The following is a 14778-nucleotide window of genomic DNA, read 5'->3' as shown; positions in this document are numbered from 1 at the left end:
ACTTTCCTGCTGCAAGGTGGTTAGGCTAGTTTAGGGGAAGCTTGAAGAAGGATGACACTGGTACAATTGGGCAGAAAAGGCCCAATATCCCTGATCATTTGGCCAGGGGCAGAATGAAGGCAAGGGTGTAATTGATCTCAGGGACTGAGAAGAGACTTAAGGAACTAAGGAAAGATGGCTATTAGATTTCCTTTCTTAGCTGACCCAACTAGATCTGAACTCAGCCTATAAACATGGCATTTTTCTACCTGATAAAGATAATGATCTACTAAATAATCCACATATACTCTGCACTCAAAAAACTAGTATGACTTTTTTTTCTTCTTCTTTTTTTGAGATGGAGTCTCCCTGTCACCCAAGCTGGAGTGCAATGGTATGATCTCGGCTCACTGCAACCTCCACCTCCCAAGTTTGAGCAATTCTCCTGCCTCAGCCTGTCAGGTAGCCAGGACTACAGGCACATGCCACTGCACCTGGCTAATTTTTGTATTTTTAGTAAAGACGGGGTTTTGCTATGTTGGCCAGGCTGGTCTTGAACTCCTGGCCTCGTGATCCACCCGCCTCGGCCTCCCAAAGTGCTGGGATTACAGGTGTGAGCCACTGCACCTGGCCGACATTATTTTCATATTAATACTTTGCTGTTAAAAGTCATTATATTGCATGGATTTTTAAGGATAATCCTAGTTTCAAATATGGTATTATTTTGGCCCCATCAAGATAACTTGGGGATTTGATATTTGCACAACTTCTGACTAGATAAATCAATTCAGAAAGCACTACGTTAAAAAGTATATATTTGTGGCAAAAGATTCTCATAAAATAATCAATATTTGGAAAATACCTAGGTACTCAAAAGACCACCAACTCTTGCATTTTAGCTTCAAATGTCAGTGGTATGACCATGTCTTATGATGTTATTTGCCTTAGAGTGGAATTATTTGGACTATCTGCCACTATAGAAACCCACATGACTGAGCCTGCAAAACTGAGCTGGATGAGTACAATATAAAGAGAAAGTAAAGTTTTCCCAGTTGCTTCTTAAACACAGTCATTTTGCCTGCCAATCAAATCATTTAAAGTGTTCCAGTCCATTTAATTATTATGTTTTATTTTAACTTCAAAATGAGTACAAGGGGCAGTGAAAGAAATGCATGTTACAACAGGAAAACTTCGGGAAAATTATACATTAGAAAAGAAATACTCATATACCTATATTTTGGTTCAGAAAATGTTCCAGACGTTAGCCTGAACAAAAGTGCCCCCGGTTTCTAAGTTATGGCAGCGGCCAGAGAAGCAGGCTGACAATGTCAGCAGGGCCTTGGAAGGATTGTGAAGGCAGGATAAGCAGCAGGCCTTTTGGATGACAGCTCAATGTGAAACCAGAAATCAGCCTCCATCCAGCTCGCCCTGCATGGGTGTCAACATCAGAAAATGCTCCATCACACAGCTCGTAGAAGCACAGCCTGATGGACACCGAGCCTGACCTTGCTTCCCCAGGAGACAGTTCCTCCAGGTCGTGGGTGAGGGAGACTGGCAAGGGTCACTGAGCGGGGCGTGCAAGTACAGCTGCTTGCTCAGAATCCATCCCCTAATCAACAAGACTCAGCCTCAAGGGGTTGTCATGCCAGCCCTTCCACCGGCACTCACTGAACAGGCGAAAAGCAAGGCCTAGAAAACACACTCATTCTTAAAGATCCAAAGCTGTCTGGAAAGGAAGTGAGAGTCCAGGGTGGATGGGCAGGCCAAGCTAGCTGGTTGTGATGAGCTGGCTAAACCTGAGACTAAAAAGATCTTTGCTTCACAGTGGTGCAAAGAAAGAGGAAGAGAAATGATGGACGGACGGACGGACGGACGGACGGATGGATGGATGGATGGATGAACAGGCAACAGGCAAACTAAGATAGGTAGATGATAGATAGATAGATAGATAGATAGATAGATAGATAGATAGATAGATAGATAGAGATAGATGGATAGATGGATAATATATTTATGTCTGTCTCTGTATCTTTATGTCTATAATTCTATATGTACCGAAGGCTTTGTCTCTTCTTCCGCATGTAGTTCACTTGAGGCACACCAGCTCAGGCGGTAGGCAGTAAGCACATCAATTCCCCCTTTTACATGATCAGAGATGTTTAACTTTCCCGGTTGACTGCTTCAGAATGAAATCTTGCCTTCTGACCTCCCACGATATGCAGAATCCTGCAGGGTCCTAGAGGTACAGGTGGGACTTTCTAGTTTATTGGGTAGCTGGAGACTGCTTGGATTCAGGGCAGGGGAAATGACACATCCTGCCTCTGGAAGGGGAGCCATCAGCTGCACATGCCCTGTGCCTTTAGCAGGTACTTCAATGCCAAAGGAATTAAGGCTCATTATTCTCTTTGCTTCCCTCTGCCTGTCTCTTCCTTCTCACTGTGCACACAGGCCCCTTCCTCTGTGCTCCACCTTTTCCTCTCATTACATTTATGTTCAGTGACTACTAGCTGGCCTGGAAGTGGAGATGTCAAGCTGAGCCTGCAAAGCTAGCAGTTTGTGAGCCCTTCCAGCTGGAAAGAAGTAGGACTTGATGATGGTCCTTCCATGTGGAAAAAAAAGAAGAGATATGTTTCTCATACATTTGTCTAAATAGATTACATGCATTTAGGTGAATTATTTCTGACACCTACTACATTTGTCCTGATTGGTTGCCCATCATGGAAAAAAAGAAAAGAAAAAAATGGTGGGGCATAGTCACATGAAATTCTACAGGCTCACATAGAATTCAAAATTAGAGGCTGAATTAATGAATTCACTTATTGAGTCAATAGAAACTCAGGTTAGAGCAGACACCGTGTTTCACTTGTACATCTGTGTTCTCCGTTTAGTATTAACAACAGCACAAATGTTTTCATGCTCTAGGGGCTACTTACCTATTTCTACATGTTTTGATTTCACAAACTTCTAGTAGAACAAATAGATAGGTGAAATTTATCAAGAAAAATGATAATGGTAATCGCTAATATTATTGAGTGCTTAAGTGTGCTTAATGAGTATTACTAATCCATGCAACAATAATTACCTAGATTATCTTTACACCTTACGATAACCTTGAGAGTTAAGAATTATGATGACAACCTCATTTTATAAATAAGAAAACTGAGGCACAGAGAGGTTAATGGCATGTGTAAAATCTCACGAGGGCACAGCATGGACCCAGTCAATCAGACTCCTGGGTCCGCTCCACTTACATACCACGTTATACAGCATCCTGTTATTTTTACTGATGATTGGCCTGGGTAAAACATCAATCCGAAGCTTCCATTGGTTTGGCAGAATAGTTAAAGGCAATTTTAAATTAAAGCACACATTTTGCTCATTTATTTTCATTTTGTCCATATTGTAGGTAAGAGGCATTAGTACCATTTTACAAATGAAAAAAAAATGCAACAAGAAACCACTGAGAGACTATCCCATAATCAAGACAGGGACATTTTGAATTAAGATCTTTGAACTTATAGTTGTAATTTCATGTAACAGGATTAATTCCATCTTCCTGCACTGGGACAAGAAAGAAGGAAAAGGCCAGCTCCCTGTATTCAAAGCAATAATTTTGTAGGAGGAGAATCAAAATGGAAGCAAAGAGAAGACTGAACTTGACATCCAGTAATGCAGCTTAACTACCTCTAAATGATAGACTGTCAGCAAACTTCATTCACACCGGATCCTAAATTTGAAAACAGGCTTAAGAAAGAATGCTATTGTGAGAACTTTAATGAGTAGAAAGCCTCTTTGATTCTATAAAGTCAAAAGAATCTCTATCACATTCTAACCATGTTTCTATCATTGGACCAGTGAAATCTTCCCTGGGTATAAATGTGAACAGGAAACAGAAATACTCTAGAATAACTCTAAGTAGATAAGTACATCTGCTTTCTGTTTAAGACACGATTCACTCACTGCCCTGCTTTTGCTGTCACTGTGAAACTACCTGCATTTCACAGTGAAACAATGACACAAAGGGTTAAATGACCTACAGCCTGGTGAAGGTAATGACAAAATTTGTTAAAAGGAACAAAAATAGTGTTACTTCATTTGCTGTATACAGAACAGTTACCTAAATCAATGTAGCGGGTTAGCTAGAGCAATGTATACAAATTATATGCTGTGGAACACTAGTCCATAAAAATATTCCAAAAAATATATATTCCTTATTGAAGTACCTGTAGGAAATACCACATACTCTGCTTGGAATCCATTGTGAACTACTTTTCAAAATTCAAAGAGCATTGTTATTGCCCACAATTATTATTAAACAACTATTAAAAGCCCTGATAAGTCCTGCAGTACAGAAACTTTACAACTTTCTTTAAAATAATGTTTCCCCAGATGATTTGTCTCTTTGAAGTTATGCCCATAGGTACCATATCCATTCTGGGAAGTCTTCATTTGGGTGAAGACATTGGGTTAGAGGAGTTTGTCTTTGCTTCTTCCCTTTCTGTAGTCATATTACATGAGAAGTTCTACAGGCTTATAATAGACTCCCTTTCTTTATGGAAGAACCTATGGTGAGGTATAATTTGTATAGCTACCTCTGTATCTTTGGATCAGCCTGGGCCACTAATTAAATAAAGATCTCATTGTAGCCCCAGCCTTCATATTTGGCCATCTCAAAGCTATTGATATAGAAAGTTGTGGACTTTCTGGCTTTGATCCTACCTATACTCTCTGCCTCCCTATCTAATAACGTCTTTTCCCAGATGCTAGTGTTTTGCCTTTGCCATTCCTGGTCCAAGTTTGTCCTAAACTTAGGTTTTCTGTTGATTTCGTTTTCTGGACCTAGGTTTGTTCTTACCCTATTTTCTTTCTTTGACCATGTCGAGCCATTCCTGGTAACTTGCCTGCTAAGACCTCAGCCCAAGGCCCAACTGCAGCATTGCGCTCAGAAACCAGTTCCCCTCTTGAAGGAAAATCAGATATTACTGCACCACTCTAGAAATAAAATTACTGCACCAATCACTTAGAGATCTTGGGCCTGTTATAATTCCACACATAGACAGTGCTGTCTATGATGCTGGGCACAACACAGCTTTCCTAGCCCTCAATTTATTGGTCTATAAAATGGTGAAATTCTTGTCTTCCTTTATTATAGCTCAGGGAGGACAAAAAAATCACCACATAAAAAGCATTTTCTTTGATTTTAATGCATCTTTGCCCTTTCTCTCTCTCTCTCTATGTATATGTGTGTGTGTATATATATATATACATACATACATACATACACACACACACACACAGTTAACCAAAGTATTTTATTTGCATGGCTCTTGATAGTTTACAAAATAGTGTCATATACACCATTTACATTTCATTCTAATGAATCTGGGCAAAGAGGTGAGGTAGGGATTATGATGGTGAATTTTCAGATGAGACAACTGAGACACAAAGAGGGCCAGTGAGTTGCTCACAGTTGCACAACTGGTGAGAAAGGCTGCTCTGAGCACTAGGGAAAAGAGCTAACGTATGCTGGGCTTAATACCTAGGTGATATGCTGTTAGGTGCGGCAAACCATCATGGTGCACGCTTACCTATATAACAAACCTGCACATCCTGCATATGTACCTTGGAACTTAAAAAAATTATAAAAGAATTATTTTTTTAAAAAAAAGGAAAAAAGAAAGGCTGCTCTGAGACACCTGTGTCCTGGCCAGTGGGTGTCTTCTTCGATGCAGTAGGAACACTGCACACTAGGGCTGGTGACTTGGTGACATTCTACTACAAAGCAGCCTTAATGATAAACTTCCCACAGAATGCATTCACTCTAAATAAAGGAAGGATGATCACAAAATTTACAGCTGCTTTCTTCTCATCAAAAGGAAATATTCCATGAATACCTCTTCCCAAATTTTATGCCAAAAGCTGCGTTACCTCTAGACACCTGTATGTCTGAGGGGTGGCAGGTGAGCTAAATTGTGGTATAAAAATGACTTGCTTTGTGAGGTAGAAATAAAAAAGCAAAATGTTCATTCATGCATTCGTTTGTTGATTTATTCAGTACATTTCAAAAGTAATTCTATGTCAGATGTTCTTGTAGACACTGGTAAGACAGAAATAATCAAACCGGAAAGGTGTCTTCTTCTAATAGAACTTACCTTCTAGAGGAGAACCAGATTATACACCAATAAACACACAAATAAAGGGGATGCTTCCCCCCCTCCCTCCCACTGCAAGCTCCACCTCCAGGGTTCACGCCATTCTCCTGCCTCAGCCTCCCAAGTAGCTGGGACTACAGGTGCCCACCACTGTGCCCAACTAATTTTTTTTGTATTTTTAGTAGAGACGGGGTTTCACCGTGGTCTCGATCTCCTGACCTTGTGATCCGCCTGCCTCGGCCTCCCAAAGTGCTCGGATTACAGGCGTGAGCCACCGTGCCTGGCCAGGGGATGCTTTTTTAATATTAAGAAGTCTAAGAAGAACGTGTGACAGAGTCATGGAGAGAGTGACAGTTGGAGCAGGGGAGTTCAGCCAACATCACTGATGAGCATATTCAGTGAAGTCCTCTCTGGGGAGAACAATGCTGCTACCTTGGAACCAGGAGAGCAGGCCAGTAGCAAGGAAGAACTGGACCCGCTATTAGCTGGTATAAGCTCAAGTGCACCAAGCTGAGCTCCTGCTCTTCTGGGTAAGAAAGTGATTCTGTAGATTCTTCTGAAAAAAAAAAAAAAAAAAGAAATCAACACAAATCAATTAGAAATCAACATTTATAGATGTCAGAGGTCAAAGGGCTAAGAAAAAGGGTGTTTTGGAGGAAAGAGAAAACATGGAGGATGACCCTGTGTTCTACATTTGAAAGTCTTCCACTTTCACTGTGAAAGGAGAAAGAGCAAAAGAAAACGATGATTATCTTCATCGAACGGGTCAGGGATGGTGTGCTCGCGAAGCAGAGCCAGGGTCAGTGGTTGCTATCTTTGGGCACCATTAAGAATGCTCTTGTTTACGCAATTTGAACGCTGACTGCTGAGGAGTTTTAAGCTATTCAATGAACGTCTTCTGTCATGTTCATTTTCAAAAGGATATAATTTGCTATCCAAACTGTAACATACTAACTTTCAAAGAAAGTCGCTGTGGGTAGGTGGAGATGGCACTCTGTTTCCTAACTGGTGATTAGCAAATTTATTGCATGATAAACCATTTTCAGTGCAGTTTTGAAAAATAAAAACATGCTTCTTCCTGAGTAATTAGTTGCTCTTTACCGCCAACAAACTGTAATTTTTATTTCTTTTACACAAGCCCATTTATTAGGAGAGAGAGCTAGCAAGCATTTATGCTTTTGTGTTTATACTGCAAAGAAGGCATGGCATGGAAAACCTGCTATGAGAATTGTGAATGCCGTTATATTTTAAAATCCACATTAATTATAGATCCACTTATTCTGAGAAAAGACAGGAATTGCAGCAGGATGGTGGTAGGGGGAGGGATTCATGTATAAATTGCCTCCCAAGGACCCCACTGAAATTTCCATAACATTCACCACATGACATTGATGTGTGAAAATTGACATGAAGATTTGAAAATTGGGACCGAGGGAGCCCAAGCATAAAATAACTTCAATTTTGCGCTCTCTCTGTCTCTCAGAGGAATAGCATGTAGAACTGACCAACACAACACAAACAAGTGAAGGGGAAAAAATAACCCAGGGAGAAGAATAGGAGTTATTAAGGAGAAAACACACTTCTCACTCACAGAGAGAAAGGATGATCAATGGATTTAGTCACAGAGAAATTCAAGCAGAAAATTGCTGCTGTTTTTTATCTGAACAGCAGAAAGTTTAACCAAACCAGAATTTTCAAGCCTGAGGAAGGCATCTACGACTACCTGTGGACAAAAGTCTGGGAGATGGGTCTTTGAACCAGAGGAAAATGGCCAAGTCCTCTTACTCTTTACTCACGTAAAGAGAAGATTTTTGATAAAGGAGGCTTTGCATCTGAAATCTTCTAGGTCAAGGCTAACATCCCTTACAGCTCAAAATAGTTTAAAGTGTATAAAATAAATAATCTGCTCAGTTCCAATGCCTGCCCTTGAGTAAAAATAATACCCTAAATAGCATCCAAAATGAATGTGAAAATGGTACACAACCCATGGACAGTCTACCTGCTAAGAATGACAAATGTAAAATCATTACTGACAATATGGGATGTTCCAGCAATTCCTCACCTGGCAAAAATATTTAAAGAGGAGCTCATATCACACTATGTCAGATACTACACTTTGAAGCTTGAGAAAAACAGAAGAAATAAGGAAAAAAAAAAAACCAACAAATCCCTAATCCACCCAAGACTTTGGCTGTCCTGGGTTACTTTTTTTTTTTTTTTTTTGACGGAGTCTTACTCTGTCACCCAGGCTAGAGTGCAGTGGCATGATCTCGGCTCACTGCAACCTCCACCTTCCTGGTTCAAGCAATTCTCCTGCCTCAGCCTTCCAAGCAGCTGGGATTACAGGCACACGCCATCACACCTGGCTAATTTTTTTTGTATTTTTAGTAGAGACGGGGTTTCACCATGTTGGCCAGACTGGTCTTGAACTCCAGACCTCAGGCAATCCGCCCACCTTGGCCTCCCAAAGTGCTGGGATTACAGGTGTGAGCCACTGCCCCCGGCCCCTGGGTTACTTCTGATGCAAGAAAATTGAGAACTCAATTACCTGAATTGCATAGTTTTGAGAGAAAAATAGCTGCCCACAATTGGAGGACAACTTCAAAGAAGGTCATGTCCAGCATCAGGATTGTAAGGCTTGGAATGAACAGAATGTTCCATGGAATTGTCTACCTTCTATTCCTCTGAGACTGAGAACATGAAGTAAACAGTTTGTCCTTCCTCCATAAAGCGTTTTACAATTTCCAATAGTATAATAGAGTGTAAAAGCAATTTGGGAAAAAAAAAAAACAAAACTAATGAAATAACCCAGCCCTGAGAGTTGTATGACTTAACATAAAAATGCCTTTCTTTTCCCTGTTGTAAACATCCAACACAGGTGTTCTTGGTTGTGACACAGCCTTCTTCATGGGGATTCAGGGACCCAGACTCCTTACATATAACTCTGTCCTCTTTGGGGGCCTTGAAAACCTTTGCATTCAGCCAGTGTTTGGGGAAACAGAATGGCGGGTCAGTCATGGGAGGTTTTTAAGTTTCTTTGTTTATTTTCAGCTTTGTTTTTGTTTTTACAAATCAAATATATTCTGACTCTGTGCTTGAACTCTCCAGAAATTGAGAAATTAGATCTCCGTCTTGTCTGGAATTTCCCTGCACTTCTGTGCAGGTACCCAAGGATCAAGGCAGTGGGGATGGCAGAATGCTATCTGGACTGTAGACCATCATTATGACAGCTAAGATTCTCATTGCTTAAGCTTATGTGGGGCAGTGACTCACGCCTGTAATCCGAACACTTTGGGAGGCTGAGGCGTGCGGATCACTTGAGCTCAGGAGTTCAAAGCCAGCCTAGCCAAAAAATGAAAGCCCATCTCTCCAAAAAATGCAAAAATTAGCTGGGTGTGATAGTGTGTTTCTGTAGTCCCAGCTACTTGGGAGGCTGAGGTAGGATTGCATGAGCCCAGGAGTTCACGGCTGCAGTGAGCTAAGATTGCCCCACTGCACTCCAGCCTGGGCGACAGAGTGAGACTCTGTCTCAAAACAAAACAAAAAGCTTATGTGGTCCATTTAAAGGTGGGTGGCTTTACTGCTGTCCTGTCAAACATTGGTATGGCATCTTTGGAGACTGTTCCCAAGCCACCCCTCTGAATGTTCAGGACAGGTTTGTAACTGCCACGTTCTTCCACTTTTGTTCCATTGGCTAGAAGTCATGCGGCCCGATCAAACCATAGGGAAGACTAGGAAATGCTGTGCCTCTCTGGGCCCAGAAGCAGCAAAACAATCTCTACCCAAATCTTCCTCCCGACAAACCCAAGACCTACACAGAGTAAATGTTATTTCCCATTTTGTATATACAAGTGGAACTCAGAATGGTAAGACGACTTCCCTGAAATCATAAAGACTCGAACTGGTTTCTCGAGTCATAGTTCTTTGATTTTCCTCTGATACCCCTCAGCTTCACCGAGAGTATCGAAATGGCCCGAGAGAGCAAGGGTGGTATGATGAAGGTTATCAGAGATAATTTTGTTATCTCTGCAATCCCTGTTACCCTGCTCAGGAGAAAGAGCATCATGAGTTTTCTAGAGGATTGAAGATCTACTAGGTAAAGTTTTTAAAATTGACTAGAAAATCATAAGCTTTTGGCAAGACTAATTCATCATCTCAGATGACTTTAAGGCCAAAAAAAGTGGGCAAGGAAATCTCACACACTTGTGTTCCCGGGAGAGTCATGTCCTTTTCTCACCTGGAATGAATCAGAATAAGTATTCAGATGCCATAAGATGAAAGCAGCACAAGTTTATTGCTAAAGAGTCTACATTCTTTTGCCCAAAAGACACTTATTTTCTTTCACCTCAAACAACTTCAGGATATTGCCCCGGGGCCGTGGGAGTATTTTGCTATTTTCTGTGTGAAATATTATATTCCCTGGTGGACACGGACAGATTGTATTACTGTCCATTGATTCCCTTAGTTGACACAGTGAACAGTGCTGGTGACCTCAACACTTGCGGTTGCATCCAAATGTGGAGCTTTTCTGCCAGAGGACCAAGAAAAAGCACACAGACTGGAAGAGAGCCGTGGAAGCCAAGGCACCATAGCATACCTGAGCTCTGCAGACCAGGGATAGGTAGGTCACATGTTCACCTGCTCAAGTTCTGTTACAGTATTGAAATATAGTCTGGTATGCTGCTGGGCAAAGGTAGCTGATGAAATCCTCATAATTCATGCCACTTACCCAGGGATCACCAGAGACTGAATCCCATGAAACAGGACTTGGTCTCAACTGAGTTGCTCTCTACTATCACATACCAATCTCTTTCTAGAGGTGAAAATAAGCTGGCATAAGGACAGAGAAGAATCTAGCATTTGTTTTATTTTATTTTTCCACTAACATTAGAGCTCTGATACTTTTCTGAGGTGCAAAAACTTCTAGAGAGGAATAGAATGCTATGAGAAGAGAGCTATAGTCTCAAATATCAGCAGAATGACTCTCCTCTGGGTTCATTTATTTTTTACTTTGTGCTGCGTTAGGTCTGTGATTTTCCCTAAGATGATGATCTACAAGACTGGCTGTTTGCATGCTCTGGATCTCATTTATTAGGAAGTGAAGTATGTAATGGTGAAAAATAGCTCAACGGGTTTCCTCTTTCTCTGGGGTATCTCTGCTGCAGCACGGCTCGTTGCACACACAGTCAGTGCCACAGAAATAAATGGAAGGGAAACAGAGTTCTCGGGATGTACAGAGTGTGAGAGCCTCCTCCGCACCTGCTGGAAGCCTGAGACAGCCTCAGAACCTCCTCTTTTTTGCATGGGACTTGGAAGTGAGAACGATCTGGGGTCACTATGGTGGTGTCTGCATAGGCACGTGTGAGACCCACGCTCAGTCATTTATTTTCTTGGAGTGTGTGAGTGTGTGTGTGTGTGTGTCATGTAGTGTAGTCTCAGCTCACAGGGCTGATGGGGGAAAGCAGGCTTCTCCATCTCCCAGTCTGCAAGATGCCTTTCTCAGATCACCTTGAGGACTTGCCGTTAGTGAGCAGAAAATCCCTGAGTGCTGTGGAAAAGGGATTTAAAAGACTTAGTAGAAGGAGAAGACTTGGAGTTTTGTCTTGTGAAAAATCTTTATAAGATGAATTAATAATTTATACTTCTGCATTTCCAGCTATGTATGAAACACTGTTCTTTATTGACGTGACTCCTCAAAACACTTGTCACTCCTATTTTAACACTGATATTCTAGAATACTGACATAGTTAAATGACTCCTCAAAGTCATGTGGTAGGCGCAGAGCAGAACCCCTACATGACTCTGTCTAGATCCTATTCTCTGCAGGCAGAAATGTTTATTCTTCTGGCCATATCATTGCTATTGATCAATATCAAGGTACTCTGTTTGTGTGTTTAGCTTTCTACTGGGCAGTAGGAAAGATGGACAAAGTGTTATGACATAGATAACGAGTATGTGCTGATGCAATCTATAAAGTTAGAAACACACACACACAAACATACACATATGCAGAATACATTTTGAAAGCATCAGAATTATAGGACATAAGACACAAATCACCTCTCTGCACCCATCGCTGGATGAGGCATTCCATATGCCTTGCTTCTTTCAGCCTCATAGTCCCTTTGAGATTCTGTGGGGATGTTAGGATGCCCCTGTCACTGATGAGAAAACAGAAGCTCAGGGAAATTAACAAATTTGTTGAAAATTCCACTGCTCCTCAGTGAGAGAACCAGGATTTCTACCCAAGCTGTGATGTCACAATACCAGACTGACTCAAAAACACCTATGTAAAAGGAGGGGTAGGGAGACTGAACCAAGGAGACAGGAGATGAAGATTCCTCCATGAACCATTACATTGTAAGGATGTCTAATGTTCAGGGGTACTCCTCTGCAAGGCACTGAGGTTGCAATTCCTACACTCATCTGCTCTTAATTTCTAAAAGCCAGTAGAAACTCACAGGGTCATGTACTCCACCCTTTGTGTGGCAGTTGAGGAAACCAAAAGTCAAACAAGTGAAGTGCATTTTTTACAGGGTTGTATAGATAGTGAGGAAGATGGCGCTAATATCTGGGTCTTCTTGATGTCTTGCTGCTCCTGACTCTGAAGAGTCTTAACAGTGGATTCCGCCATCTCTTTAGTTGCCAGGATGGAATCCACTTTTCCGGAAGATAGTGTAGGGATCGGGGTATGATCAGTCTTCTTTCTCCACCACTCATGCAAGGCCCTCAGTGAAGAAAACAGTGGCTGTGAAGAAGGAGACTCATTGCAGAGTCAAGGTTATGGGGCATGTTGAGCTTCAGGGAGAGACACGCTGAAAGTCCAAGGTTTTTTTTTTTTGGTTTTTTTTTTTTTTTTAGACCAAGTCTTGCTCCATGGCCCAGGCTGGAGTGCAGTGGTGGTGGATCTTGGCTCACTGCAAGCTCTGCCTCCTGAGTTCATGCCATTCTCCTGCCTCAGCCTCCCAAGTAGCTGGGATTACAGGTGCATACCACCACGCCTGGCTAATTTTTTTTTTTTTGTATTTTTAGTAGAGACAGGGTTTCTCCGTGTTAGCCAGGATGGTCTCCATCTACTGACCTCGTGATCTGACTGCCTCGGGCTCCCAAAGTGCTGGGATTACAGGCGTGAGCCACGGAGCCTGGACTATTTTCCAAGTTTCTTACAAAGTTTTTACAAAATAACTCATATCTTTATTGTAAAATTAAATAAATACCATCTACCCTCCAGATACGGCCTCTCTGTGAAGTCTTCTTTGACCACACCTGGCCTGGTTGGTTTTCCCTTCCTTGAAGGCTTATAGCACTCAACGTATATGTGGCACGTCCTTTGACATTTATTGTATTTCTCATCCAATATTCATTCCCCTTCCTGCAACAACTGTACCCTGATTCTTCAAGGGACCTGCCATTTTCTCACTCTGGAGGAGTAGATGTCACAATCTGGCCCCAGAATTGGAGCAGGCGATTGATGTGGGCTAAGCCAGTTACACTATTTTATCCGTTTTATCCGCAGGGCCACAGAGATGGGTCCATGACAAAATTTGTGTCAACACTTGTCAATCCTAGGGGTTTTCTTTTGAGTTCTCAGGGGAGTAGACTCCCTGTGTATCACTGACCATGAAGCTGAACACATGCAGTCCCAGGAGCTGCTGGCAGCCACGTGCCCACCAACAATCAAGAGCTAAGAATTGGGCAACATCATGGAAGGAAGACTGTGGGGAAAAAGAAACTGAGTCCCTGCTGAGGCTTGTTGCTTACCTGAGGCCAACCATGCCCTTGAACTCTTCTCTTTTGTGAAGAGATACATTCTCTTTACTTTTAAAAATTCATTTTATTGAATCTTCTCTTCCTTGCAACCTGTAAATATATTCATATTACAAAGTCCCAAACTGTTTCGTTCATGTGATTATATTTACAACCAAGTTGACCCTCATTTAACAAACATGTCCTAAGCATCTTCTCATAGTAGTCAAGATCTCAAGACCTGTGAGAATAAGCTAATTTAGCCACCTTCTTATCCTCACAAGCCTTGAGATTCTGCTACATGCTACTGGTCTGCCTTCTCTGACAGAACAGAGCTAAATCCATGATACTTCATTAGAACTGCATAAATACATGATAGTTCAAGGATTGACTTGCAAATTCATTTAATAGGGATTGAATGGTATATATCTTCAATCTCAAAGTTTGCATTTCAAATCTTGCTAATGCATTTTTGCTTTAACTCCACATGTCTTCTAGCTTTATAGATTATCTCTACGATATTAATATTTTCTACCCTAAACATGTATATTTCAATGAATGCTGGCATAGCTTTTTTGGGGTCAACTTTTAAGATAATTATACTATAGATTTTTCACAAGCATTGGCTCTTAAGTCTTTATATAATTCAATTCAGCTTGACTTTAGGAAAGAAAGAAAGACAGAAAAAACAAAAAGGAACCCAAATGATCTTCTGCAAAGGACTCCAGAAATACACTAAGAGAGAGAAGAAAGATGAAGTTAAGCTAGCAAATTCTGAAACTGATCTATAGCAACAACAAACATTTTAAAATTTACTTGTAACCTCAGAGAATTCACAGCAAAAATAACTTTAGGTTTGCAATCCAACCCAGTGATTGTACCTCAAATTTACTAATCTTGG

At 41.3% G+C, this 14778-nt stretch overlaps 1 long non-coding RNA gene across 1 annotated transcript; it reads left to right on the top strand.

The window, feature by feature from the left end:
• Positions 1 to 12431: 12431 nt before the first annotated feature.
• Positions 12432 to 14018, top strand: LOC105370987 (uncharacterized). Its single transcript, NR_188300.1, has 2 exons — positions 12432 to 12491; positions 13648 to 14018. It is a non-coding gene; the product is annotated as an uncharacterized LOC105370987 (long non-coding RNA).
• The last annotated feature ends 760 nt before the right edge of the window (positions 14019 to 14778 follow it).

This window comes from Homo sapiens, chromosome 15 (assembly GCF_000001405.40).
Source record: "Homo sapiens chromosome 15, GRCh38.p14 Primary Assembly".
NCBI classification, from domain to species: Eukaryota; Metazoa; Chordata; class Mammalia; order Primates; family Hominidae; genus Homo; species Homo sapiens.
Note: the sequence above shows the minus strand (reverse complement) of the source record. Positions and strands in the feature narration are given on the sequence as shown.